The 25,974-nt window shown below is 43.9% G+C and overlaps 1 protein-coding gene and 2 long non-coding RNA genes across 6 annotated transcripts in view, besides 2 other annotated features; 2 read left to right on the top strand and 1 right to left on the bottom strand.

Moving 5' to 3' along the window:
• The window catches only part of ADAMTS16-AS1 (ADAMTS16 antisense RNA 1), a 34,077-nt gene extending 18,458 nt beyond the window's left edge, over positions 1-15,619 (top strand). The window contains exon 2 of the long non-coding RNA NR_198969.1: positions 15,386-15,619. This is a non-coding gene — a long non-coding RNA (ADAMTS16 antisense RNA 1). The remainder of the gene's footprint in view (positions 1-15,385) is intronic.
• ADAMTS16 (ADAM metallopeptidase with thrombospondin type 1 motif 16) overlaps positions 1-17,427 on the bottom strand; it is a 179,975-nt gene extending 162,548 nt beyond the window's left edge. For all 4 annotated transcript variants that reach the window (NR_136935.2, XM_047416874.1, NM_139056.4 and 1 more), the window contains exons 1-3: positions 17,218-17,427; positions 16,991-17,093; positions 11,302-11,627 (exon numbers count right to left, since the gene is read on the bottom strand). Coding sequence is in view for 3 of the 4 variants with exons in the window: in XM_047416874.1 (XP_047272830.1) it covers positions 11,302-11,627; positions 16,991-17,093; positions 17,218-17,289 (501 nt within the window). In the remaining variant the exon portion in view is untranslated. The remainder of the gene's footprint in view (positions 1-11,301; positions 11,628-16,990; positions 17,094-17,217) is intronic.
• Positions 11,096-12,295: an enhancer, noted in NCBI's record as "P300/CBP strongly-dependent group 1 enhancer chr5:5145575-5146774 (GRCh37/hg19 assembly coordinates)". NCBI's record gives its function as "activates an origin of replication core promoter dependent on BRD2, BRD4, P300/CBP, MED14 and CDK7 cofactors, with strong dependence on P300/CBP, by STARR-seq in HCT116 cells {active_cell/tissue: HCT116}" and the evidence as "EXISTENCE:reporter gene assay evidence [ECO:0000049][PMID:35650434]".
• Positions 17,655-18,221: an enhancer, noted in NCBI's record as "H3K27ac-H3K4me1 hESC enhancer chr5:5139649-5140215 (GRCh37/hg19 assembly coordinates)". NCBI's record gives its function as "activates a minimal SCP1, AML or CMV promoter by ChIP-STARR-seq in primed H9 embryonic stem cells {active_cell/tissue: H9 hESC(primed)}" and the evidence as "EXISTENCE:reporter gene assay evidence [ECO:0000049][PMID:30033119]".
• ADAMTS16-DT (ADAMTS16 divergent transcript) lies at positions 17,703-25,672 on the top strand. Its single transcript, NR_109915.1, has 4 exons — positions 17,703-17,801; positions 23,687-23,889; positions 23,987-24,120; positions 24,525-25,672. It is a non-coding gene; the product is annotated as an ADAMTS16 divergent transcript (long non-coding RNA).
• Positions 25,673-25,974: the final 302 nt, after the last annotated feature.

Below are 25,974 nucleotides of genomic sequence, written 5' to 3'. Positions count from 1 at the left end.
GCTTTTTTTCACCTAAGAAGAAAAGACTCATACAGATTTAAATTATGATAAAAGAATAAAGGACCCTAGGGTTATTGAGACAATTACTTCTCACGGATTTTGGATACTAAAAGAAATCACCAACTGCTTAAGACACATTTCACTTGACATGTTTTGAGTCCAATTTCTAATGTCTTAAGGGCTGTACAAATACCTATTCAGTGACAGAAAATTAGAGCCACCAGATGCATCATGTCACTACTATTGAAGCTTTCTATTATTTTATTACCATATTTAAACTAAAGGCAACCAGCCATTTAATCATATATATAAAGCTAGGGAGTGATCAGCATATGATTTTTTTTTAAGTTTTATCCCAGAGAGGCTTATTTTTGCTACAAAACTGCTAAGATTTTACATAATGCCAGTACATCCCTTATTTGGTATTTCCATTTGTTATCAATTAAATATGAAGAAAAAATAGAAATTCAACCTATTTTTAGGTAGACATTTTTCAAATAAATTATTTTAATTTAGTTTTTATATATTTAGTTTCTATATATTTCTGTGAAATTATAGAAGATACAAAATTAGCACTGATTTTGCTACTAATTTAAAATGCTGATTTACTTGATTTTAAACACATGCTGTTCTTCCTAAAAAAAAAAAAAGTTAAACTCTTAAGTAGTGAAAAATACATTCAACTAATGACAAATGATGGATGTTATTATTTTAAAAGGAATCAAAGTCAGTAAAAATGATCCATGCCTGGAATCACTGGGGATGGAGGATCAACAGGAGAGCAAGTGCAACTAGGAGTTTCTGATTCACTGCTGCGGCTCATGGCACTTGAGAGTTGGTAGGGGATTACTGAGAACAGCTGTTGTCCACAATCACGAAGGACAGAACTCCACTGAGTGTGTAAATTCCCTTTGATACAGAGTCTGGCCTCAGGCCTCTAGAAGATATACCCTAACTTCTCCTTCAGAAGTGATTTAGAGTAGCCAAACTTAGACTGAAAATAGACACACACACAAGCCCCTGAGTGCTAATTTATACCTGTATGAGTCATGAAATACAACCCCCAAGCCTACTGAGGAAACTGTTCCTTCTCCCTCCTGGCAAGCTACATAGGAGGCTTAATTTTAATCAAAGCAGTAAAAGGTCAAGTGCAGCCTACCATGGGGGAGGAATGTCCGGACACATTGTGTCTGACAGTTCCAGCCCCATACAAGAATAAGCCTGTCACAAGGCCTAGCAAGGTTTAGTTAGCCCATTCCTTTCCCTATATAAGGCTGGAATATTCCTACTTCAGTTTTTGGGATCTCTTTTCCCCCATCCAAATTGGTGTTTGTGCAGATGATTTTTGTAAGGCAACAGAAGTCTTGTTCCTCCATTGCAAAAATCATTCATTCTTTGCACATATTTTTATTGAGGGCTTTACTATATGCCAGGCACTATTGAAAGTGTTGGGGATAAAGCAAGAAAAAGTCAAACATCCCTGGTAGTTATTCTCTCAATACTTAGGGTAGTAGGCAGCTTGATTATACAAAGAAATCGCCTCTCAACTCAAAGTTCTCCCTTTAAACTCTGTTTCCTGATGTGAACCTGGAACTATACAAATCCCATTTCTGCTTTGCCACCTGCTCTCTATTCACATCCACCAACAGCCCACACAATGCGGACAGTCTAAGGAAGGTGGAAGAACCTGCTCTTTCCTGTCTAGCCCCTGCGGACTGTCTACGCCTCACTTCCTGTCTGTTCCTTGTGGACTTCTTGTCTGTCCCATTGGGCTTCCTGTTTAGCCCCAGTGGACTTCCTATCTGCCTCCTCACTTTCTGTCTGTTCCCTGTGGACCTCCTGTCCATCCCAGTGGGCTTCCTGTCTAACCCCTGTGGACTTTCTGTTGGCTCCCTCACTTCCTGTCTGTCCCCTGTGGACTTCTTGTCAGCTCCTGTGGACTTTCTGTCTGTTCCCTCACTTCCTGTTTTTCCCAGGGGTGGACTTCCTGTTTGTCCCCAGTGGGCTTCCTGCCTCCTGTTCCTGTCATTCTCACTTCACCCTTGCTGTGGCAGATCATTCCAGTTGCAGCCGCTGATTCTAGTTTGTAGCTTACTTAAAGAACCAGCTACACTGTTCTCCCTCAGAGTCCTAGCACCAGCTAGCTCCTACTACTAAGGGATTTGAGGCCCAGCTCCAAACGTCTGAATTTTGAAAATCCCAAACTCTCCCCTTAGTTTCTTCAGCCCCAGGGGCAGTATATTCTTGTAGTTGTTGTCTAGGGTGCTTTGATATTCTCTGTTTAATTTTTCAGTACTCAAATGCCTACATAATGCATTGTATTAATTCTCTCTCTTCAAATAATTTGTGTGGTTTCTGTCTCCTGACTAGACTGTGATTGATACAGTTAATAATAAATGCCAAACAGAAAAATAAAATAGGGATAGGAAGTGGGAAACAGGGATAGGAATGAAACAGGGACTGGGCGAGTTTAGATGGGTGGGCCAAGGAAGCCCTTAACAGACTTCCTATCTGTTCCTTGTGGACTTCCTGTCTGTCCCAGTGGGCTTCCTGTCTAGACCCAGTGGACTTCCTTCTTAAAAGGTAACATTTAAGGAGGAAAAAAAGGTCATATCCATGTTAAGCAGATACAATCAGGCTGCTCTCGTTAAACCTCAGGCAAAGCAAGATCCTGCCTTCAAGAGCTTGGTTTCATTTGGACTCTTTTACTCTCTTTGTACTGGACTTTTGCTTGAGCAAGCACTCTCTTTAAAAGTAGATAGCAAGCACTCTCTTTAAAAGTAGATTTCAGACATCCTGTCATTCAGACAGTCCCAGGCCTGTATCATCCCCGAGAGTTAGTGGCCACAGGGATCATCTTCTGTTACACCCAGGGAATCAAGTTTCAGGTCTGAGCATTACTAAGAAGTCATCTCTTAACTCCAAACTATCCTTTTAAACTCTGCTTTGTGAGGCTGAGGATGGAACTCTACAAATCTCACTTCTGCTATGCCACCTGATCCCTATTTCATGATGATGAAGTAATATCATCAAGTGATTCTTGGTGAAAACATCGCTGGACAGAGAATCTGAAGACACGCACCCTAGACCTGTCTGAATTCCACCCGACTTTGTGATATTGCCCAAGTGACTCCACTCCACTTGGATCTCAGTTTCATCACTTCAAAAATGAGAGAAGTGGAACAAAACCATAGATTTTATAGCTAAATTTCTCTAGTCATCTAATTTTTGTTTACAACTAACAGTAAATTAATAGAAAAATCTGTTATCACTTCAAACTTGAAAGATTACCTTATAAAATATTATTTGATCTAATGAAATATATTCATTTCTGTTAATTTCCAAATTGCACTATTATATTTATTCTTATGTAATTAGCAGAAAAGTAAGAAATTATCTACACTTTCAATTAGTTCTTCACAACCACCTTAAATTTCCTAGTCACCACCAGCTTTGGCCGTTCTTTATCCAAAAACCTAATAGCTGTCTCACATGCCTCCCAAGACTGACATTTTCATCTGCTTATGCCATCAGCAGTCTTCTCAGATAGTGACACCTTTCTTTCAAAAATCATAGTATCTCTTCTGATCATACCCCCATGTGGGTTCTTCCTCTCTATTCCTATTTTATTATACTGGCTCAAGAACATTTTTTAAAGTCAGTTGAAAATCTGGCAGCATTTCAGACAGTTTCCTAGGATTTATTGAGTGTTTTAGAAAAATCTCTCAATGACTAGAATTTCCAGGGAATCCCTGGAGTTTGTGGGTAGAAATAAAACCCAGTACAATTCAAACCAGGGCCCTGAATAAGTGTCAAATCAAGTGAGAGTATAGACAGAACTGAGAATTACAACATTTACAAGTATTCCAACATTTTTGAAAACAATAATTAGACTTTAGGAAAAATGATACCTATCCTGTGCATTAATGCCTTGACAAACATCATGTTTTATGCAAGACGAATTAAATTTCATGCAGATTTTATGCCAATGGCAGTCGACAGATTATATATATTTTTTTCTAATCCAAGTACAGAACTTTCAGAAAATCCTAAGAAAAATCTATTCCCATCATATGCAACAGAAAACATTTTTAAACAACCCTCACTTAAAAATATTGACTAATGGAGTTTCTAAAAAATAGTTTTGTTAAAAACCCTAGTGATTGAACGATTTATTAATAAACTATACACTTCAAAAGAAAATTTACAGTGTTTGACATTAGTCATAGCAAGAAATCAGATGAAGTGGATTATAAAACTAATTTTACCTTTATTAATACCCAAAAATAGAGGTTGAGAAGATATAGGATTTCTGTTTGTAAATTGGAAATACAATCACTCATTACAAGAACAAAATGAATTTAGGTTAATGTTTAACAAGAACTTTGGGATACAAAGATGAATGATAAACGACTCTTGAAGAGTTCATAGTCTGGTATTAAAAAACCTGTAAATAAATAATTATGGAATAAAGTACACATATGTGCTTTAATATTTACACACTGCAAATTTAACATTACAAACTGCAAATGTGGTCACTAAGCTCAAACAGCATTAGATGCTGAGGAAGATGGCACTGAAGTGGAAACCAATGAGAAAGTCATTACCCCTTAGAGAAAGTTCAGGTGACACAATGCAAATTCATGTGCATGAGCTCACAGGTCCCTGTAAGGCAGCAACAGCTCCATGATTAAGGGAAGTGAAATAGTACTGTGGTTTCAAGTGCTAGTTCTGGATTCCCATGTTTTGAAGAATTAGCTTTGGGATCATCTGTAAAATGGGGATAATAAAGTGGTCTTGGATCATAATCTGTAAAATATGTTAATAATAGTGTCTATTGAAGACAGACTTCCAGAATGGCAATTTGAGGAGCAATGTGGGATTTCACCCCAGTGAAAGAACCACTTATTGCTGAAAATTACACACATGCATGCACACACACAGGCTTCAACCATTTAAAGTCCTTGGAAATTATCTTAAGTGCATAAAATATGGAGAAACAATTACTGAAAAACATTTTAATAAACCTTGAACAGAACAGTGAAATTTGGTAGTGTTTGAGCCATGGTTTGCTTAAGTCTTTACCTTGGCCCCAGCTAAATGCAACAGAGGTTCTTCTCCAGGCATGTGTAGCCAAGAAGATAAGGAATCCCTATTTCCTTACCCCCAGCCAACTTCTATTCTGAGACTCCATTTGCACTACAGGGGAGGCAAGCCACTTGCATCTGAAATTCCTTCAGTTCCATATTGCAGAAGCTCTGTTCCAGGCAGGCATGGCCAACAGAACTTGTTTGTCTTCTGCCAAGCAGCCCCTACACATAGAATGGACACTACTCTCCAGGCTTATCAGGCCGACAGCAATGAAACCCTGAATACCTCCACTCCATCTCACTTGTAGGTTAAAGTTTCAAGACAGGAAGCACAACCAGGGAAGACAAGGGGTTACCATCCCCACCGGAGCTCTGCTCATAGAGTAAGGGTGTCACAGTGGGAGAAGCAAGCCATTCTAGCAGTCCCATCTGCAATTCGGTGTCTTGGAGGTTTTGCCCAGGAGAAGAGACAGGCTGCATGAACAAGGAGCTTGCCTCCAGGGCCTGAAATTATTTGGAGCAGAATGTGGGAATTTCATGCCTAAGGGCATTGTCAAAAATAATAAAGATTTTGGTTGTGAGCAACTAGGAAGAACCATTTATGACAGCAAGGATGACCCTGGAAGACAATATGCTAAGTGAAATAAGCCAGACACAGAAAGACAAATACTATATGGTCTCACTTACACGTGGAATCTAAAAAAGAAGTTGAATACATAGAAGTAGCAAGTAGAGTATTGATTAGAACACTCCTTCCCAGTGGCAGAAAGGAGGAAAAAATGGGGAGAAGTAGGTCAAAGAATACAAGCTTACTGTTACATAGGATGAATAAGTATAAAGACCTAATGTACAGCAGGAAGACTATACTTAATAATACTGTATTGTATACTGAAAATTTGATTAAAGAGTAGATTTTAGGTGCTCTTACCCCCCACACACATACACACACACACACACACACACACACACACACACACACACACACACAAAGGGAACTATGGGAAATAATGGATAAATTTGCTTGGCTGTAGTAATCTTCTCATTGTGTGTGTGTGTGCGTGTGTGTGTGTATAAACATCATGTTTTCACCTTAAATATATATGATAAAAATACATTAAAAATAAAAATGGGCCAGGTACAGTGGTTCACACCTGTGGTTCCAGCACTTTGGGAGGCTGAGGCGGGTGGATCACAAGGTCAGGAGTTCAAGACCAGCCTGGCCAACATGGTGAAACCCCATCTCTACTAAAGACACAAAAAATTTGCTGGGCATGGTGGTGTGCACCTGCAATCCCAGGTACTCGGGAGGCTGAGGCAGGAGAATCACTTGAACCTGAGAGGCGGAGGTTGCAGTGAGCTGAGATTGTGCAATTGCACTCCAGCCTGGGCAACAGGGTGAGACTCCAGCTCAATAAATAAATAAATAAATAAATAAATAAATAAATAAATAAGAGAAAAGAAATAAAGGAAGCCATGATGGCAGTGTTGCACAGAGAATTTGAATGAAGGTACATTTTTAAAAGAAAGAAATAAAAATTTTGGAATTGAAAAGTACAGTACACACAATGTAAAATTTATGAGGGGGCTTAATAATATATTTGAACTGCCAGGAAAAAATCAGTGAACTTGAAGATAAACGAAGAAGACAGAGAAAAATGAATGAAGAAAAAATGAATGGAGCCTCAGAGAAATGTGGGACATCATTAAACATATCAACATATGCATAATGGATACCAAAATATACATACTAACATATGCATAATGCAATGTGCATAATACACCACAGTGAGATAAACAGTTGACTTCTCACCAGAAACAATGGAAGTCAGAAAGCAGTAGGATGACATATTGAAAGTGCTGAAAGTAAAACAACAAAAAACTGTCAACCTATGCAGAACAATTCTACGGATGACTATGGACCAACTGAGTCCTCCCCATTTTCTTCCTTGCCGTTCTCAAGAATGACTGCAAAATGTGCTGGAAATGCAACATCATGAGATAGGGAGGAAAGGGCAGAAACAACCTGGACTCTGTTGCAGTCCCTGCCTTGTGGTATGACGTGATGACTGAAGTGTAGAACTTGTTGTGATGATTGAACTGCAGAACTTGTCCAGCACGTCATGTGCCCGGGTATAAAACCCAGGGTGGGCTGCTTTTCTGGGTGCCCCAGCCATGTTGCATGCACAGACAAGACTTCATCCACTCAGGCTGCTGTATTGAGCCTTGTGCACCGGCCCGTGATGATTCCTAGGCTTCAGCTGTCCCTTGCTGCCCTACCTATCTCTAAGTAATAAAGCCACTTCATGTAACTTGTGTGTGGGGGTTGCTGTCTCACCAAACTCAGACAAGTTGCTAACCTCTGCACAGTGAACCCACTTCACAAGCCAATAATCTCTACCCAGTAAATCAGAACCACAAAGGATACTACTTCGTACTCACTGGGATGGCTATTTAAAAAGAGAGAACAATAACAAGATTTGGCAAGAATGTGGAGAAATAGGAAACTTCAGACATTACTAGGGTAATATAAAATGGTACAGCTAATATGAAAAATGGTTTGAAAATTCCTCAAAACGTTAAGTGTAGAGTTTCCATATGTCCCAGAAATTACACTCCTAGGTATTTACCCAAGAGAAATGAAGACACATGTTCATACAAAAACCTGTACACAAATGTTCATAGCAGCATTATTCGCAGTAGCCAAAAAAAGTAAAACAATAATGTCCATCAACTGATAAACAGGTAAATAAAATATGTGGTATACTTCAGCAATAAAAAAGGATAAAGTACTGGTATGTGCTGCAACGTGGATGAATCTTGAACACATTATGCTAAGTGAAATGAGTCAGTCACAAAGGCCACATAGTGTATGCTTCTGTTTATAATCAATGGCCAGATTAGGCAAACCTATACTACCTAGGATGGGAATGGGGAAATTAGGGGAAGTGAGAACTGCCCATAAGGGTTTATTTTTGAGGTGATATAAATGTCTCCTATTAGATTCTAGTGAAATTTGCACAATTCTGTTAATATACTAAAAACTACTGAATGATACATTGTAAAGGGTGAAACTCTATTAAATGAATAGAGCTAATTAACTCTTTAAAGAGTGAGTTACATCTCAATAAAGCTGTTTTAAAAATAGTACCTATTTCTTCGACTTATCTTCAAGCTAAGTGAGATAACAATTGTAAAGCTATTAGCAAAGTATAACATTCAGTAAGTCATTATTGTTCTTTGTGCTATTGCCATGGTCATCATTGTCTCTTACTTATAACTAGCCCTCTAAGTCTATCCATTATTTAACCAAGTACTGGAAAGTACCTGAGTGACACACATTTATGTGCTTGTGTTTGGTGACCACAAACAGATCTCTAATGACAATTTGGTAGAGACATAAATATAACAGGGACCCTTTTTCCAAAAATTACCCTTACTTAACTGAATAAGAAATATTTTAAGTCAAGATACTTGGTGGCAATACCAGGGTAAACTCTAGAAATAATTTTAGGGTTTACAGATCCCATTGAATATATTATACTTGGGTTTAATATGCAAATGTTAAGCTCTTAACATTTATAGGTAGTGTTACAAGATCTGTGAGCTTGGCAGATGCCAGCAGTCTTCTCCAGGACTGCTTGTTACTCCTTCACTTATGGGCATCACGTTCTAACTTTACTATGAGGACAGGGCTTGGACTTGGTTTCTGGACAGTCTCTAAAATCCTACCCTGACACTCTCCACCTACCAGCAAGGCACGCAGAGGCATCCTCCTCTGGGTCCTTCTGGCTCCCATGCCTGTCCCCGTTTCCTCCCCCGTAAGGGACTTGCCTGTGTCCTGCCTCTCTCATTAGACAATAAACTCCTGGGGCCCAGGTCTGCTAGGCTGCAGCCATACATAGTTCTCAAGGTCATTCAGTACTCAAATTGTCACTGTGAACATGAGATTTAATGTATTATGTTTGTTTAGTTTTTCCTTTCTTCTTTATGAATATTTGTTTACTATAAATAGGACAACACCTCAATGATTCACTTTCACACTATTCCTCAAACCAATCATTAGTGGACAACAGCAAAATCCTTCCAAATGCAGAATCTCAGAACCAGGGTGAAAAACTATGTACCAGTTTGGAAATTGCATTGTTTCACAACTGTAAACCATTTTCTCTAATTAAATGATACAAGATATTATGTAATAATTAAGCAATATATTTTTACACTTGAAAGTAATATTCTTATCCTACAAATTAAACAGATAGAATGGAATATAGAGCATTTCCTGCTAGAAGAGATCTTCTTTTCAAAGTGATCGCCCCTGGGCTCTGCAAAGATACCTAAATAAGAACAGGGCTCTTTCAAATGCCTTTGATTTGTCCTGTCTTATGACGAAAACACTAAGCCTCACACTCTTAAGTCTGGTTGAGGTCTCATTTGTAGTGACCATCTATGGACAAAATATCAGTAAAGCTGGACTACAAGTATTTGGAAGATTAATGAAGAAGACATATAAATTTCTCTTCCAACAGCTACAGTATCAGATACCACTGTTATTATCCAGAGAAGCATTTTTTTCTGTTATTTATAATTTCTTTATCTTTCATTATAATTATACACTTACTTTACTGTTAACTTTTCCTGTTAACTCTGATCAAGCTCAAAAAGAGCCAGAAATTTCAAGCTACTGCAAACCACCTCGATTCAGGGAACAGATTCCAGGGCACAGCTCAGCCTCCCTGGCTCAGGGAAACCCAGGGGCCTCAGGGAGCTTGCATCCTTGCTGGGTTAGCAAGAAGCACCTCACCAATTTCCACAACCAAATCCAAAATTACCCAAGTGTAAAGGGCAAGGCACACCTCGCTGCCACACAGATGGCTTCCATTTCTGGCTTAAGCCCTTGTGAAAGAAAACCAAGGAAGATGTATCTTCATTTTGTGCATTTCATGAAGAGTTCTAGTCCGTTAAGGAAGACTTATTTTTCTTGGGAGAGTGTGGAAGAAATCAGCCCCATTGTCTTCATGCTTAACAAGAGCGCCAAATAACCACCACCCTATCCCTGGCAACTCAACCCAAAAACTTCTTACAAGTGAAATAGCAATGAGATCAACTCATATCAAATTTCTCTAAAAAGCAGAATGTTAACATCTAAAAAAATTTTTTTACAGGATTTAGCATTTGCATATATTTAGTATTTTAAGAAATTGGTTATGAATTCAGCATCCAAAATTCACACACACAAAATCTTTATGAGATGTGGGGTCTGAATTCCCTCTCCTCAAAGAGGGAATGAAATTTAAGACACACTGAAAGCTTTTTCTAGAGAAGCAATAAACGTCCCAGACCTGTTGGCCAAACCTTTAACATCCTCAAGACCTTGAACTGTTGACCACACATTTTCACTCTGCTGTCTAAGTCACACTTCGCTCCTCTGCACCTGAGCAATTCATTTGCTGCCAAGAATCTAAGAATCTCCAAAGATTTTTCTCCCTAAATATATGAAAATATTTTAAGTAAAAAGCAAGCCATTGAGATTTTGACTTGGGTAGGCCTGAGGGATGCAGGTAGATTCTTAGCTCGGCCATAAGCCCCCGGCTCTAGCGTCCCTGTAAACTGCAGCACCAGAAGCATTGAAGTGATGTGCCATTCCAAACCCGATATGCAGGACATGGGGAATGCACCCCTGGATTCATCAGTCCAGGAAGACCAGCAACGCCCTGCCATGGATGAATGCCCTAATGTGTAAGCAGATTATCATCATCAGAATGAAAGATGTACAGTATTCAAAGTCTTTCAAATATCTGATCAAATAATCCTCATGGCCAATCTCTTGAATTGTGTTGTTTTATTCAAAATGAAGACATTTCTCCAGTTTCTGTCAGTTAGAAGCTGTAAGTTAGAGTAAAAACATCCCCTAAGAAGCTAAAGAATTCAGATTTGGCCAGCGGTTCTTATACACAAGTTTCAAGCTGAAGTGCTCGTCCACAATAATTCTAGAACAGCAGCAGCAGGGTGGGTGTGCACACTGTTTCCAAATAGGCCAGAGGAGGCACGCAATGTTTTTTGGAAAAGTTTTACTTGGCAATATTCCTCCTGCTTAATCTGCGCTGCAGTACTAGAAGAACATCTATGCGAAATCGAGGGAAAGTCCTGGTTACGCTCTCCTTTCCACCATCACCAACCTCGCCTCCCTACCTGGGGCTTGCGCTGTACTCACCAAGCCTTGGCAGGTTGAAAGGGCCACTGAGGAGTTTCTGTGTGATCGCAAAGAGCCTTGATAGAAACAGAAGTCCTCTGGCGGTAAAGTCTGCACAGACTTAGTGCCTGTCTTTCCCAACGTCTGCACAATAAAGCCAGGAGCCACTAGGCTGCTGGAAGTCCTCAGATCCATGTGGAAGTCGTGCCTGGAGCCTTTCAGCCGAAGGTGAAGAGACTCAACCTCGGACACGGGCACTGCTCTTCTCCGCCGCTGATGGTGCATGATTTCATGGGACACGTAATCGCCCCTGTGGTCAACCTCGTAGGCAGAGACCAGGTCATATTCTGAAATCAAAAGAGTGAGCAGAGGCTGAGTCATTTCGGAATTCCGAGAAGAATCAGGAAGTCTTAAGATATAATATTATTTTACCACATGACCTTTCCACCCAGTCAAAAATGATGAAGAAAAATGCAACACCTACCCATACTGAATTCAAAGTGTGCAATATGGAACATCACAGTTTAAAGAAAAAAATTGTAACAAGGGCCCCATAATGTGCTATTACCAAGCCAGGAAATTCTCCAACAGTGATGCGGTGATGTTAACAGCTGTCATCTGCCCTCCCAGCCACTCAGGGGCATGCTCCTCACCTCCCACCAGCTCCTACCACTGTAGCTGAGTCAGGGGAAGGATGACAGAAAGCAGGATGGCTTGTTCCAAACAGTGGAAGGTTAGCACATTTTATTGTGTATAAAAAGGTGATTACTCTTTAAGAAATCAAATTATTCTCAGATGAAATAAGTCATATTCTTATGACCTTTATTTTGAAGAGAGAAAATATTCGTCCTTTACTGGGGGCACATATAATATTTATCATGCAAAATAACTACTGGTAAGCCATGTTTACATAAACACAATGCTGTGGTAATAAACATTCAACAACCCGCTGTCTGGAGAAGAACGACCTGGATTTTGGCATTTGCCAATTTCCCTGGTGTAAATCTTCCCCTCATGGCTGATTTCAATGACTGCTGTGCCATCACTGAATATTCAGTGCACAGAGATACGCAGCAGCCCCCAGTGTGTGATATTTCTACCATACAGATGCAAAAGAGGCCAGTGGCCTCAAGAGCCTAGATTATTATCAAATATAGTGAAATAATTATGAAATGATGAGCTTTGAGTATTGCAATGTTTTTAATATAATTAATTTCACTGTAAATGTATGTATTTTAATTATTCTCACAGTGATTTGGTGTCTTTATTAATACAGTATTTTTTCCATAAATGGGAAAGACGTATTTGAAAGACTTCAAACACAATAATCTTGCAAGAGGAAAAGTTTGTCCTATCTAAAAACTCATATATATAAGTGGTAGGCTCATAATCTCCGCGTTCAGGCAAACTGAACTCCAAGAAGCCCTGCAAGGCTCCCGTGAGGCCCCAGTTGTTTTCGGAGAGCTCAATTCCAAAAGGCTGGGGGAGACGGACAGAGCTCCATGCCTCGCCCACCCAACAGGAGCATCTCCCACGGGCTCCACCCTTCCCACTCTTTCCACAGTTGGCTGCTTAGATGGCACCTGACTGCAGCTTGCTCCAGACTCAAAGACAGAGCCTGTAACTCTCTAAGAGCAGAGGAATGTTCACGAGCACCCTAAGAGGATAGCAGGGAAGGAGAATCCAGAAAACAGAGACAGAAGGGTGGGACAGGTGGCAGGAGATGTATAGCCTTCTAAATAGAAATCAATCGCATTAACAAAAAATCAGTCCACCACCGGCCACCTCTTTCAAACGCTGCTGATATCAGGAAATAAAAATGACACTACCCTCCTAAAGTCGGCTTTGGCAATGAGTTGCAAAATACTTTGACCTGGGAAATCACCCTGAGGAAATAATCCCAGACGAATTTTAAAAAGTTTATGTAAATATTTTCATGGAAGTATTATTTGTAATGAGGTAAAATTTTAAACAATAATCAACAACGGATAATTGGTAACTAAATTACCATAAAGCTATAGAAAGGAATACCTTAAAGCTTGTAAAAATATACTCTAAAAGAATGAAATCTAAAATATTATTTCACCACATGAGGCAAAGTTGATCAAATAATGAGCTTTCAAAGTACGTTGTAAGCTCTGAAGCCAAAGTGACCTTTTAAAGGAAAAAAAGTGTAGCCTGTAAGGAACACAGGGCAATAAGTAAATTCTTGTAGATTATCTGGACAAAATGCAGAAGGCAAATAGTAAAGGCAGAGGGGGGTAGGAAGAGAAACTAGCACAATTCTATTTTATATTCTCTGCATTGTTATTATGTTCGCTAGTGAGCATGTGACCATTGATTTTTTTTTTGTTATAATTTAAGTTCTGGGATACATGTGTAGAACGTACAGGTTTGTTACATAGGTATACATGTATCATGGTGGTTTGCTGCACCCATCAACCTGCCATCTACATTAGGTATTTCTAATGCTATCCCTCCCCTTGCCCCTCACCCCCCAACAAGCCCGGTGTGTGATGTTCCTTTCCCTGTGCCCATATGTTCTCAGTGTTCAACTCCCACTTACGAGTGAGAACATGCAGTGTTTGGTTTTCTGTTCCTGTGTTAGTTTGCTGAGAACGATGGTTTCCAGCTTCATCCATGTCCCTGCAAATGACATGAACTCATTCTTTTTTTATGGCTGCATAGAATTCCATGGTGTATATGTGCCACATTTTCTTTATCCAGTCTCTCATTGACGGGCATTTGGGTTGGTTCCAAGTCTTTGCTATTGTGAATAGTGCTTCACTAAACATATGTGTGCATGTGTCTTAATAGTAGAATGATTTATAATTCTCTGGGTATATACCCAGTAATGGGATTGCTGGGTCAAATGGTATTTCTTGTTCTAGATCCTTGAGGAATCGCCACACTGTCTTCCACAATGGTTGAACTAATTTACACTCCCACCAACTGTGTAAAAGTGTTCCTATTTCTCCACATCCTCTCCAGAATCTGTTGTTTTCTGACTTTTTAAAGATTGCCATTCTAAATGGCGTGAGATGGTATCTCGTTGTTGTTTTGATTTGCATTTCTCTAATGACCAATGATGATGAGGTTTTTTTCATATGTTTGTTGGCCGCATAAATGTCTTCTTTTGAAAATTGTCTGTTCATATACTTCACCCATTTTTTGATGGGGTTGTTTGTTTTTTTCTTCTAAATTTGTTTAAGTTTCTTGTAGATTCTGGATATTAGCCCATTGTCAGATGGATAGATTACAACAATTTTCTCTCATTCTCTAGGTTGCCTGTTCACTCTGATGATAGTTTCTTTTGCTGTGCAGAAGCTCTTTAGTTTAATTAGATCTTATTTGTCAGTTTTGGCTTTGTTGCAATTGCTTTTGGTTTTAGGTTTTAACATTTAAATAGTTAATCCACCTTGAGTTAGATTCTGTATAAGGTGTAAGGAAGGGTCCAGTTTCGGTTTTCTTCATATGGCTAGCCAGCTTTCCCAGCACCATTTATTAAATAGGGAATCCTTTCCCCATTGCTTGTTTTTGTCAGATGTGCCAAAGATCAGGTGGTTGTAGATGCGTGGTGTTATTTCTGAGGTCTCTGTTCTGTTCTATTGATCTATATATCTGTTTTGGTACCAGTACCATGCTTTTTTGGTTACTGTAGCCTTGTAGCATAGTTTGAAGTCAGGTAGGTAGTGTGTGACACCTCCAGCTTTGTTCTCTTTGCTATTTTGTAATTACTTCAGCCACCAAGAATGATTTGCAATAATAGTTTGAGTCATGCGCTACTTTAAACAAAATGTATGGCTACAATTAGTTATTTCAGAACCAACTTGTCTAATGGATACCTAGACAGGCAACAGTAAGTTGACCCCAGCAGTCACCAAGTGTCTTCTAGCTCTTCTGCTCCAGGTCAGAGGGAAACAGGCAACACTGTTGAGGAGGATCTTTTCTCTGGTGGCATAAAAGCTTGTTGTGGATGTCCAGACTCACACATTAGCCATTTATAATTAAGGAGCTAAAGTGCATAGAAGGTAGGGGAGGAGGGTGTGTGCTGTGTCCACTGGGCTAGAACTTCACTAAGAAGGGTTTGCCTCTTCCCCTTCAGGTTCTTACCAAGCCAGATAAGTGGTTGTCATGGAGACGATACGTTGTGACAACAACTGTGGTGCCAGGTGTTCAGAGCAGCACACTGGCACCCCACTCCCAGAGAGGATGCTGAAGCAGATTGAATCACTTTAGGAGAAAAGCACACTTAGGCACGAAGCCCTGGCTTTTCTTCTTCTTTCTTCTGTGTCTATAATGTGTTTTATCTTAAATAAAACTTCATAAATGCCATAAACTATTGTGGAAATCTCCTGAGTCCCTCTGGAATTTTCATGGTTTTAGGGAACTAGAATTTTTTTTTTTTTTTTTACAAAAATCTTACTTAAAAAGGTGAATTAGAATTAACCTTTAAAATTGTAAGAATTAACTTTTAGTATTGTAAGCAAAACCCTAAAAAGGACAAGGACAACCACAAGAGGATAGTCTGTAAATGGACAGATAATTAACTTTCTCTTGTAAATTCACTGTGACAATTTTTTTTAACATTTTATATCATTTGCACCTAGCGCCCCCTGGTGGTTCTCAAAAAGGTACTATGGTGAGCGTCAATCTGACACCGGTCACCTTATATACTATTTGTGTACTCATTTGGCAGGGAATAATTTCAAAAGTTAATGCATATATTAAGTGCTTGCCTTTATGTTATTTTATCAAATTGAAATAACTATACTGAGAAATTCTGAATTGTTAACTTTAATTTTCTAGATCTTCTGGAAATACATTGAGAGAATGAAACCTAGTTCTTCCTATAAAAGTCAATTAATATTAACATTTGATACGGCAATTTATTGTTGGTAACAATGCAAAATAATATTTATTAACTGTCATTGGATGGGTTCAGGTTAAAAAACCACCTAGCAACCAGTGCGACACACCTGCGTTCTCATTTACCTGATGCAGTATGAAGACACAGAGATCCCTTTCCATAAGACAGCAAATTTCCAAATGTCACTTGTAAGTGGCAGAAGTAAAAGCATGCATTGAAAAAGAATAAGACTTGCCCTCATGTCAAATTGTGGCCCAGGATATGAACGTTGCTGATGGTGTCACAATCAGCTGATTAGCCATTTCAGGCACTATTATGTTTGAAGTACGCCCTGATTGTTGGAGCATTAACTTTGGTATTGAGATGCTAAGCGCTTCTTTTATCTCCTTCACTGAGAATAAGCAACGATAGAGGAATATTTTAATCTATAAAGGAGGAGAAGGAGGAAAGGTTGGGGACGGGAAGGAGGATCCGAGGATGTAGAAGGGGACGGAAAAGAAAGTAATTTGCTCTTTATGACGGCTTTGATGCATACATTAATAGCTTTAGATTCTTCCTAAGCTCTTTAGAATAAAATAAAATGAACTTCCTCACCTTTTTCCTAATGTTATATCAATAACTCTGGCAAACCGTTTTGCCAGGGAATAAAATGTAAATATTGGTGGAAATCCACTCATCGGGGCTCGCTCATACAGTTAAAAAAAAAAAAAGTTCACAACAGCATCTTAAAAGTAGGGTTCCACAGAGTCGTGAACATTCACAGCACCTAATAAACCAGCGGCACGGAGATTACGAGCTGCTAAATGGCAAGGATTAGAAGCCCCCACCTCACGGACTTACCGCCCTTTTCCATCCAGCCCGGCCGCTCCGCGGGTGGAGGAGGACGCGGGACGCTCGGGCTCCCAGGCGCTGCCGCTGCGGGTCCCATGGCGCACGCAGGTGCCTGCGGAAAACAGCGGCGACATCGCGGTGAGACGGCGGGGTCCGCGGGAGAGGAGCCGCGGGGGACTCGCCTCCAGCTGTCCGGACCCGCGGTTTCCGCGCTGGTGGGAGCGCCCGGGACTCACCTGCTCGGCCACCTGCGCCAACAGCATCCACAGCGCCGCCAAGCCCCGCCATCCGCGCGCGCGGGGCTTCATCCAGGAGCGCTCCGAGGGGCTAGGGGCCACCGGAGGGTCCCCGGCCGGCAGCGTGCGAGCGGGCAGGGAGGACCCGACCCAGGCAGAGCGCGGGAGGATTCCCCACAGCGACTCCGCCGCCGCGCCGGGGTTATTACTGAAGCTCCGTGCGGCGCGGGGGGCGGAGTGGCAGCCGCGGCGGCGGGGGCGGCGGGAGCGGTGGGAGAGCGCGGGGCGGGCAGGGGAGAGAGGAGGGGAGGAGGTGAGGGCGGGGGGGTCAGAGGACCGAGGAGGGGAGAGTGCAGGGACAAAGAGCAGAGGGGAGGAGGCGAGGTCAGCGGGGCGCTGAGGCGGAGGCGAGCGGGGAGCAGAGGGAAGGCGGGAGACAGCGGGCAGCGCCAGAGGAGGAGGACGCGGGAAGATGGAGCTGCCCACGGCCTGCAGTCCGTGCCTCTCTGCCCGCGCGGGGACCACACAGTTGGAGAGGCTGCCGGGCACCGGCGCGGGCGATGCTCAGCATGGACCTCCGGCCGGTGCGCGCTCCTGCCCTGCCTTGGGGCTGGGGACTCGGCGGGACTCCAGCTACTGCAGTGGCTCCGCGGGCTCCCACCTCCGGGCCGCACCGGCGCCGCCAGAGGCCGGGACACCTGCAGCCCGCGGAGTGCGGTCTGGCCGCGCCTCTGTGCCCGGGCACAGCTGTGGGGACACTGGGTGCGGAAAACCGGGCGCCAGGACGTGGGAGAGCCGCGGACCTGCCTTTAAAGGCGCGTGCCTCGCTCTGGAGTTTGCGGAGCGATCGGAGACGGGGAGGCTGAGGAGGAAACTCTTCCCCCGCGCCATTTGCCCCGAGATGTGGCGGCGCTCCTGGCCCCGCGGTCACGGCCACCCTCAACTGGCCAGGCCGCGGAGGCCGGTGACTGGCTGCTGGGTGCAATCCCTAGGGAGGTCTCAGGGCTGCGGATGGGCCTGGGTCTCGGCCGCCACGGGGGTCGATCGGGCTACTGTGTGGACAGGGTGGCCAAGGAGGCAGCAGGTGTGCGGTCAACAGCCTGGCCAGAATTCTGCTGTAGCTGGATGGGGTGTGTGAGCGCGCGGGTGTACATGTGCCTGGGTGTGCGCGGGTGTACATCCACACCTGACTGCGTGTGCGCGAGTACACGCTGTGAGCCCATAGTGTGTCTGGAATTGGTGGGTTCTTGGTCTCACTGACTTCAAGAATGAAGCCGCATACCCTCGCGGTGAGTGGGTACAGCTCTTAAGGTGGTGCGTCTGGAGTTTGTTACTTCTGATGTTCAGATGTGTTCGGAGTTTCTTCCTTCTGGTGGGTTCGTGGTCTCGCTGGCTCAGGATTGAAGCTGCAGACCTAGGCGGTGAGTGTTACAGCTCTTAAGGCAGAGCCTCTGGAGTTGTTCGTTCTTCCCGGTGGGCTCGTGGTCTCGCTGGGCTCAGGAGTGAAGCTGCAGATCTTCACGGTGAGTGTTACAGCTCATGAAAGCAGAGTGGACCCAAAGAGTGAGCAGTAGGCCGGGCGCGGTGGCTCACGCCTGTAATCCCAGCACTTTGGGAGGCCGAGGCGGGCGGATCACGAGGTCAGGAGATCGAGACCATCCCGGCTAAAACGGTGAAACCCCGTCTCTACTAAAAATACAAAAAATTAGCCGGGCGTAGTGGCGGGCGCCTGTAGTCCCAGCTACTTGGGAGGCTGAGGCAGGAGAATGGCGTGAACCCGGGAGGCGGAGCTTGCAGTGAGCCGAGATCCCGCCACTGCACTCCAGCCTGGGCGACAGAGCGAGACTCCGTCTCAAAAAAAAAAAAAAAAAAAAAAAAAAGAGTGAGCAGTAGTAAGATTTATTGCAAAAAGCAAAAGAACAAAGCTTCCACAGCATGGAAGGGGACCTGAGCCGGTTGCCACGGCTGGCTGGGGCAGCCTGCTTTTATTCTCTTATCTGGCCCTAGCGACATCCTGCTGATTGGTAGAGCCGAGTGGCCTGTTTTGTCAGGGCGCTGATTGGTGCGTTTACAATCCCTGAGCTAGATACAAAGGTTCTCCACGTCCCCATCAGATTAGTTAGATACACAGAGTTTCCACACACAGGTTCTCCAAGGCCCCACCAGAGCAGCTAGATACAGAGTATCGATTGGTGCACTCACAAACCTTGAGCTAAACACAGGGTGCTGATTGGTGTATTTACAATCCCTGAGCTAGACATAAAGACTCTCCACATCCCCACCAGACTCAGGATCCCAGCTGGCTTCACCTAGTGGATCCCCGCACCGGGGCGCAGGTGGAGCTGCCTGCCAGTCCTGCGCCGTGCGCTCGCATTCCTCAGCCCTTGGGTGGTCCATGGGACTGGGCGCTGTGGAGCAGGGGGTGGCGCTCCTTGGGGAGGCTCGGGCCGCACAGGAGCCCATGGAGTGGGTGGGAGGCTCAGGCATGGCGGGCTGCAGGTCCCGAGCCCTGCCCCGCAGGAAGGCAGCTAAGGCTCGGCAAGAAATCGAGCACAGCCCCGGTGGGCCGGCACTGCTGGGGGACCCAGTACACCCTCCGCAGCCACTGGCCCAGGTGCTAAGTCCCTCATTGCCCGGGGCCAGCAGGGCTGGCCGGCTGCTCTGAGTGCGGGGCCCGCCAAGCCCACGCCCACCCGGAACTCCAGCTGGCCCGCAAGCGCTGCACGCAGCCCCGGTTCCCGCTCGTGCCTCTCCCTCCACACCTCCCTGCAAGCTGAGGGAGTGGGCTCCAGCCTTGGCCAGCCCAGAAAGGGGCTCCCACAGTGCAGTGGGGAGCTGAAGGGCTCCTCAAATGCCGCCAAAGTCGGAGCCCAGGCAGGGGAGGTGCCCAGAGCAAGCGAGGGCTCTGAGGACTGCCAGCACGCTGTCACCTCTCAGTAGGACTGCGCGCGTGGGAGTGCATGTTTGCACACGTGTGTGTGTGTGGCGCTCCCCATCCGTGGCTGCTTTCCCATCACACACCTTATGTGGATCCTGGGCCTTCAGCTGCCCTTTGTTTGGTTCCAGTGTCCTTCACAGCCAGCTTAGCTTGACGTTGCCTCTTTTGCACACTTTGGAGAGGGGGATGAATGGGGGAAATGGTGTCTTGGGCTCTGGCTTTCTTTGCCCAGCCTGTCGCGAGTCTGTGGGTACCCAGGGAGAGCTCCCAGCAGGCGCCCTGCTAGGGCTGTCCTGAAGCCCCAGACCCCAGGTAGGGGCAGTAGAACCGCCTGGCTGTGTATGGGCATCCTCATTCCATAGCAACACACACTCCCTCTCTTATTCATTTATTTGAAACCATTCCTCAAAGTGCAAATATTTTTTACATAAAGCCTGGCATTGGGAGGGACCTTAAAACACCTGCCACCCTTCCTCTCTGCCAATGCCTAACAAGCGTCTGCCTCAGCTCACACCTCAGGGAGCTTACACTTACCTTGAAGGGGGGGTTCGGCAGTGCCTGGAAGTCTCCAGAATCTGCCGGCAGAATTTCCCTTGTCCTGAGTACATTGCACGCTTGATAAATGGGGATCTCTACGTACTTCTAATTGTGTCCAGTGTAACATGAAAGGGAGTGAGATTTTTTCCAGTCTATCACATGGAGATACCTAGGGGCCCTCTTCTGTAAGTTCAAACAGATGGAAAAAAAGAAGAATGGCTGATATAAAAGGATTCACTCTTACGGTATGCTTAAGAACAGTAAGACCAGAGCAGTGCTAAATGAGTCTCTTTTCATTGTGAAGAAAGAAACAACATTCTTTAAAATGACTAGTGTTTCCCAGTTCCTCTAGCGGTGCACGGATTTCAGCGCTCATCCTGCAGTATGAATGTCTCCAGGTAACAAAGAGGGGTGGTTGAGTCCAGGCTATAGAGGCCAGAGTGGGAGCTGAGATGCAAAACACACGAGTGGACCGAGTTTAAGACTGGCCATCTAACATGGTGGCAGTAACTCGCAGCTGCCTGTCCGTCTCAGGGAGGGATGGAGAGGGAGGGGCAAACTGGAGCACACGTGTCTGCCTTAAAAGGGACTCCTGGCACTGAGTGGCCAGCGCATGGGTTGGTGCCATACAGTATTGGGGACCAGACCTGCCTAATTTTTAAAGGTAAAATGGAAATCTAAATATGTATATGGAGTCCCTTCAGTTTAAAGGTGTCCCAGCAAAGTAACCCTGAGAACAAATATTGGAAGAGTCAAAACAAACCGCCAGCCTCAAACTACTTCACTTTGCAGCCCTTCAAGAACTTAGCACTCTTAACTTTGAGGTCAAAGTTTAGGAAAGCAGTTTTGTCATCATTTGTTTACATCCAGGGTCAGAAAACTCTCTACTGCCTAAGATCAAATCTGGCCAGCTGACTCATTTTGTAAATAAAGTTTTATTTGTTTGCAGATCGTCTGTGAATGCTTTCACAATGGCAGAGTTAAGTCACTGCAACAGAGACTGTGTGCCCTGCAAAGCCTAAACTATTTACCATCTGGCCCTTCACAGAAAAATGTTGCTGTAAATTATTTAGACCATTCACAGTTAGCACTTGTTTCCTTTCAGACAGAGGTTCTGATTACTTAGGTCATTTTGAATATCAAGTAGACGTTTCAATAGAGAATAAAAATTAAATTAAAAATAAAAACAAAGTGCTTAGCAAAGGATCTGAGAGAGAGTTTCTTCTAACGGCTGCATGCTCTCCCATGCCCAGTGCCCTTTCACAATGAAAGGAGCCAGGGCCCTTTCTCATGTGGAAACAAATGGCATTTTAGATTAAAAGGACCAAACTTTGTCATAACCCTTTTCTAAATTGCATAAACTTTAAACTAAAGCAGTGCAAGTGGGCACATTACCTTGTATGTAAAACCACCATCCATACAACCGAAACAGAGAAGAATTGGATGTGTTTGTGCCCTACAAAGATTCTGTTTAGTCTGTAATTTTGTTCCTTCCTCATCTCACACACAGCTGAAACTAGTCAGGTTTCAAAGAAGGTAGCATTGTATTGTGCATCAACACTTGTCTTTAGTGGAAAAAATTACAATGATTGTGTGCAAAATTTTTGTAGTTCATATTCTTTTCTGAAAGATTAGAGTCGTTCTTTATTACTTTATACAAATTATGAGAACACAGTGTCATTAAAACACAGACACAATGATGTCAAATAACTTTCCAGCTTGGAGGCCTATGGGTGGCTCTAGTCCCTCTTTGCAGGTTACAGTTGAGAAAACCAAGCCCCAGGAAGGTCCAGCAGGTCTGCGGACCCACCGTAGGGGCACAGCGCTCAGGCCTCATATACTTACTCTTCCCCAGCCCTGCTCTTGGCCCCTCCGCAATAAGATGATTTATAGGCCAAAAGTAGTGAGGCACCGCACTGTCTCCCAGTGCTCACAGCACCCCGACAATGTGAGAAGGTCACATAGTAAAACACAAGAAAAAGATATTTTGAAGAAGAAATATTAAATGAATTATATAAAATGTAGAACTCACTATGAATTTGGACTCAGTATAACTTTAGAAATCAGAGGGCTCTGGAAGAACTGTGCCTCCGGAGTGGTTGGCAACACTTGTCCCAGCCCCCTGTGTTTCCACAAGATCCTTTGGCCAAGTTCTAACTGAACCTGAGCATCTCAGCTCCTCGGTGCTAATAGGATTAGCGTCCTTCCCTCCACAGGCCAAACACGTCCTTCAAATGCCTAGGCAGTAACCAGATCACGTCAGCCCACGGTTTACACGAAGATCCTGTTCATGACTGCACTCTTGTTTCTGTCGTCCTCCCTTACTTTGAGACTTGACTGTTTTTAGTAAAAAGAAGAAAAGAAAATTGCAAACCAATGACAATCACAATATGGCATTTATAAGCTCCTTTCCTTTTATTACTAAACACAGAAATACTTAGGTTAAATAGTAATAATGTATCTAATTATACAATAATTATCTTTTTTCTAATAATAATAAGTTAAATATTTGTTATTATTTTATTATTATTGCTATTGGTATTCCATAGCATCTCTTGCGGTGAGACCCCTCACTCTTCCCCAGTGCTGAAGATGCACATAGAAGATCAGTCACTCAGACACCTCAGGAAATAAGTCTCAGCACTTTTCCCTGAAGACTTCTGGTCCATACTAACACTGGCTTCTGCCAAACATACTTTCTTCCAATGGGTACAAAGGCGGCATAATTGTCGGAGCTTGGTGTATCAGTTAGCTATTGCTGCGTAAGAAAATACCCCGAAACCTGAAACAAAAGCCAGTTCTTTTTGCCTGTGCATCTGCGTCCTGGCTGGTTATCTGGTGGTCATGATGGGCCCTGTCGATCTTGGCTGGGTTCACGCAGGTGTGCTGTCCACGGGGTTGGGTTGTTGGCTGAGTAGAATTGGGCTTGCTCACATTAATGGAACAAGTGGTCAGATCCAGCTGTATTTCTTACAGTTTCTCACCCTCCTGCAGGCCAGCCTGGGCTTGTTTTCCCGGTAGTACTGGGTTCTGAGAGAGAGTAACTGCATGGAAGGCCTTGAAGACTGGGCTTGGGCCTGCTGTACCCACATGACTGCTTCTGCCACGTTCTACTGGCCAAGCTCTATGGGCAGCTCAGACACAAGGGAAGAGACTCTGCTGCTTCCTGGGAGAAGCTGCAAGACCACATTGCGAAGGTGTGAAGACAGGGAGGGGTAGAGAAGGTAGTCTTGCTTGCCGTCGGTCTGTGGCTTTTCATTTCAAACCTCACCATTTTGTGGATTTTGATCTAAGGAACATGTTGTTGCTGCTCCCATGTTACCTTCGTCAGTGACCTGAGATGCAGACTGGATCTAGGGAATGGTGTTTCCTGTGTGATGCCTTCCAGGAGTATCTGCACCACGGGCAGTGCCAGGCCGAGGACAGAGGTACATGGTGTTAGGTCAGGGCCGTGACGCTGGTGGGAGTGGGGGTGCGGTGGGGGGTGGGGCTGTTGAGAGGCAGCTTTCTGCACCTTCCCCCCAGTCATGCTCTCCAGGGGTAGTGAAGAAGAGCCTTGGTTTTCTTCATTTGTTGGAACACAGTAGGTTAATCAGTGTTTCCAGTTGAATCTACCCACTCCGTTTCTTATGTTGAAGGCCTAGACTCTAATACCTCAGATTGGGACCTTCTTTGGAGATCGGGTCTTTACTGAGGTGATCAAGTTAAAATGAGGCCTTCAGGGCGTGCAAACACGTACAATCAGCCAGAGCCAATGACGTTTCTATCCCCCAGGAAAGAGTGTTGAAACATTGTAACGTGAATATCCATTACAATCTTCTTTCCATCCCAGGGCCTAATGGAGGACACTCTACAACTCCATCCTGCTGCTGGGGGGGCTTGGGGGCGCCTCCACGAGGGTCTTCAGAGGAAAGGCATGTGTGTGGTCTGTGGCCTGCCAGCAGGAGAGCTGGGGGAGGCCGGCATCTTGAGGCTGTTGGCAGCAAGTGCAGGCAGAGGCCTCGGGCCAGAGGGGAGGTGGCAGGGCTCAGGTGCCCTGTGCTTCCTCGGAGAAGGCACTTGGGATGAAGGCTTAGTCCTGCCTGGTAAACCTGGAGGCCTGTGAACACTGGGGTTAGCCCCAACAAGGGAGGAGGTTCCCGCTGCCTCACTAAGAACAGCCTGCTGCTACACTCACCCTGACAGCTGCTCCGCTCCCAGTGAACCCCACCCCGAGAAGGCTCATCGGGGCCACGGACCTCCCTCAGCGCTGCATTCAGAATCCCTCAGGAGTTGTAAACTTCCTGATTTCTGGACCCATCACCAGAGCCCAACGTCACGGGTAAGGGTTAGGGCCTGGATGTCAGGATTCAATTTGGAGAATTCCCCGGGGCAATTCCACCATTGCAGACACTGAAACGGAGCTGGGGCAGAAGAATCACACCAGGTGGCTCGAGCTGAGCGGCTGGGAGTGTGGCAGTGAAGACACTGAGTGTCCGTCAGGGAAGATGGCTCTGGGTACAACAGCGTGCCCAGCCCCTTAGATATTCTCTGCACGGAAGTGGCCCCACCCTGAAGCGCGTGTGCAGTGACTGTTCATGCTTCTGTGTGTGTGCAGGAGTAGTTTGGTTGGAGTGTGCATATGCGAATGTGTGTGTATGGAAGTCTATCTATCTGTAATGTAAAGCAGTTGCGTAATGCAAATGTGTGTGTATGGACATCTATCTGTAATGCAAAGCAGTTGCGTAATGCAAATGTGTGTGTATGGATGTCTATCTATCTGTAATGTAAAGTTCCCAAGTATTGTGTATATCATTGTTTGAGTTTTTAAATTCTAAGATAATTTCTAGAGAAAAAGATGTACGGGTGATTCCTGGTGAAAAGCAGGGACCGTGGGCCTCATATTGAGACACATTTCACGCTGTTTAGATTGTAATGGCAATTATGTATGACTTTTGTACGTTTTTTAAAAAGCCAATAAAATACATTTTAAAATGTGGAATTATTTCTTCTAATTTAAAACCAGATGTTGGCATGGTTAGATTTTCTTTTTTTTTTTCCTTATCTCACTTTAAAAAAATCAAAGAATGACTTTTAAAATCTAAGAATGACAAAGCCATCTTCACTCCTGATCTTACTATTCTGTAAGTAATCATAATGCAATGTTTCTCTAAGAAATGTTGATATGTTTAATTTTTACAAACTGGGCTACGGAATTTAGATTATATCTTCAGCAATGTCATTGCTTCTTTTTAAAATTTTTTTGAAAAATGTTTGTAGAGACAGAGTCTTGCTGTGTTGCC

Source organism: Homo sapiens, chromosome 5 (assembly GCF_000001405.40).
Source record: "Homo sapiens chromosome 5, GRCh38.p14 Primary Assembly".
Lineage (NCBI taxonomy): Eukaryota > Metazoa > Chordata > Mammalia > Primates > Hominidae > Homo > Homo sapiens.
Note: the sequence above shows the minus strand (reverse complement) of the source record. Positions and strands in the feature narration are given on the sequence as shown.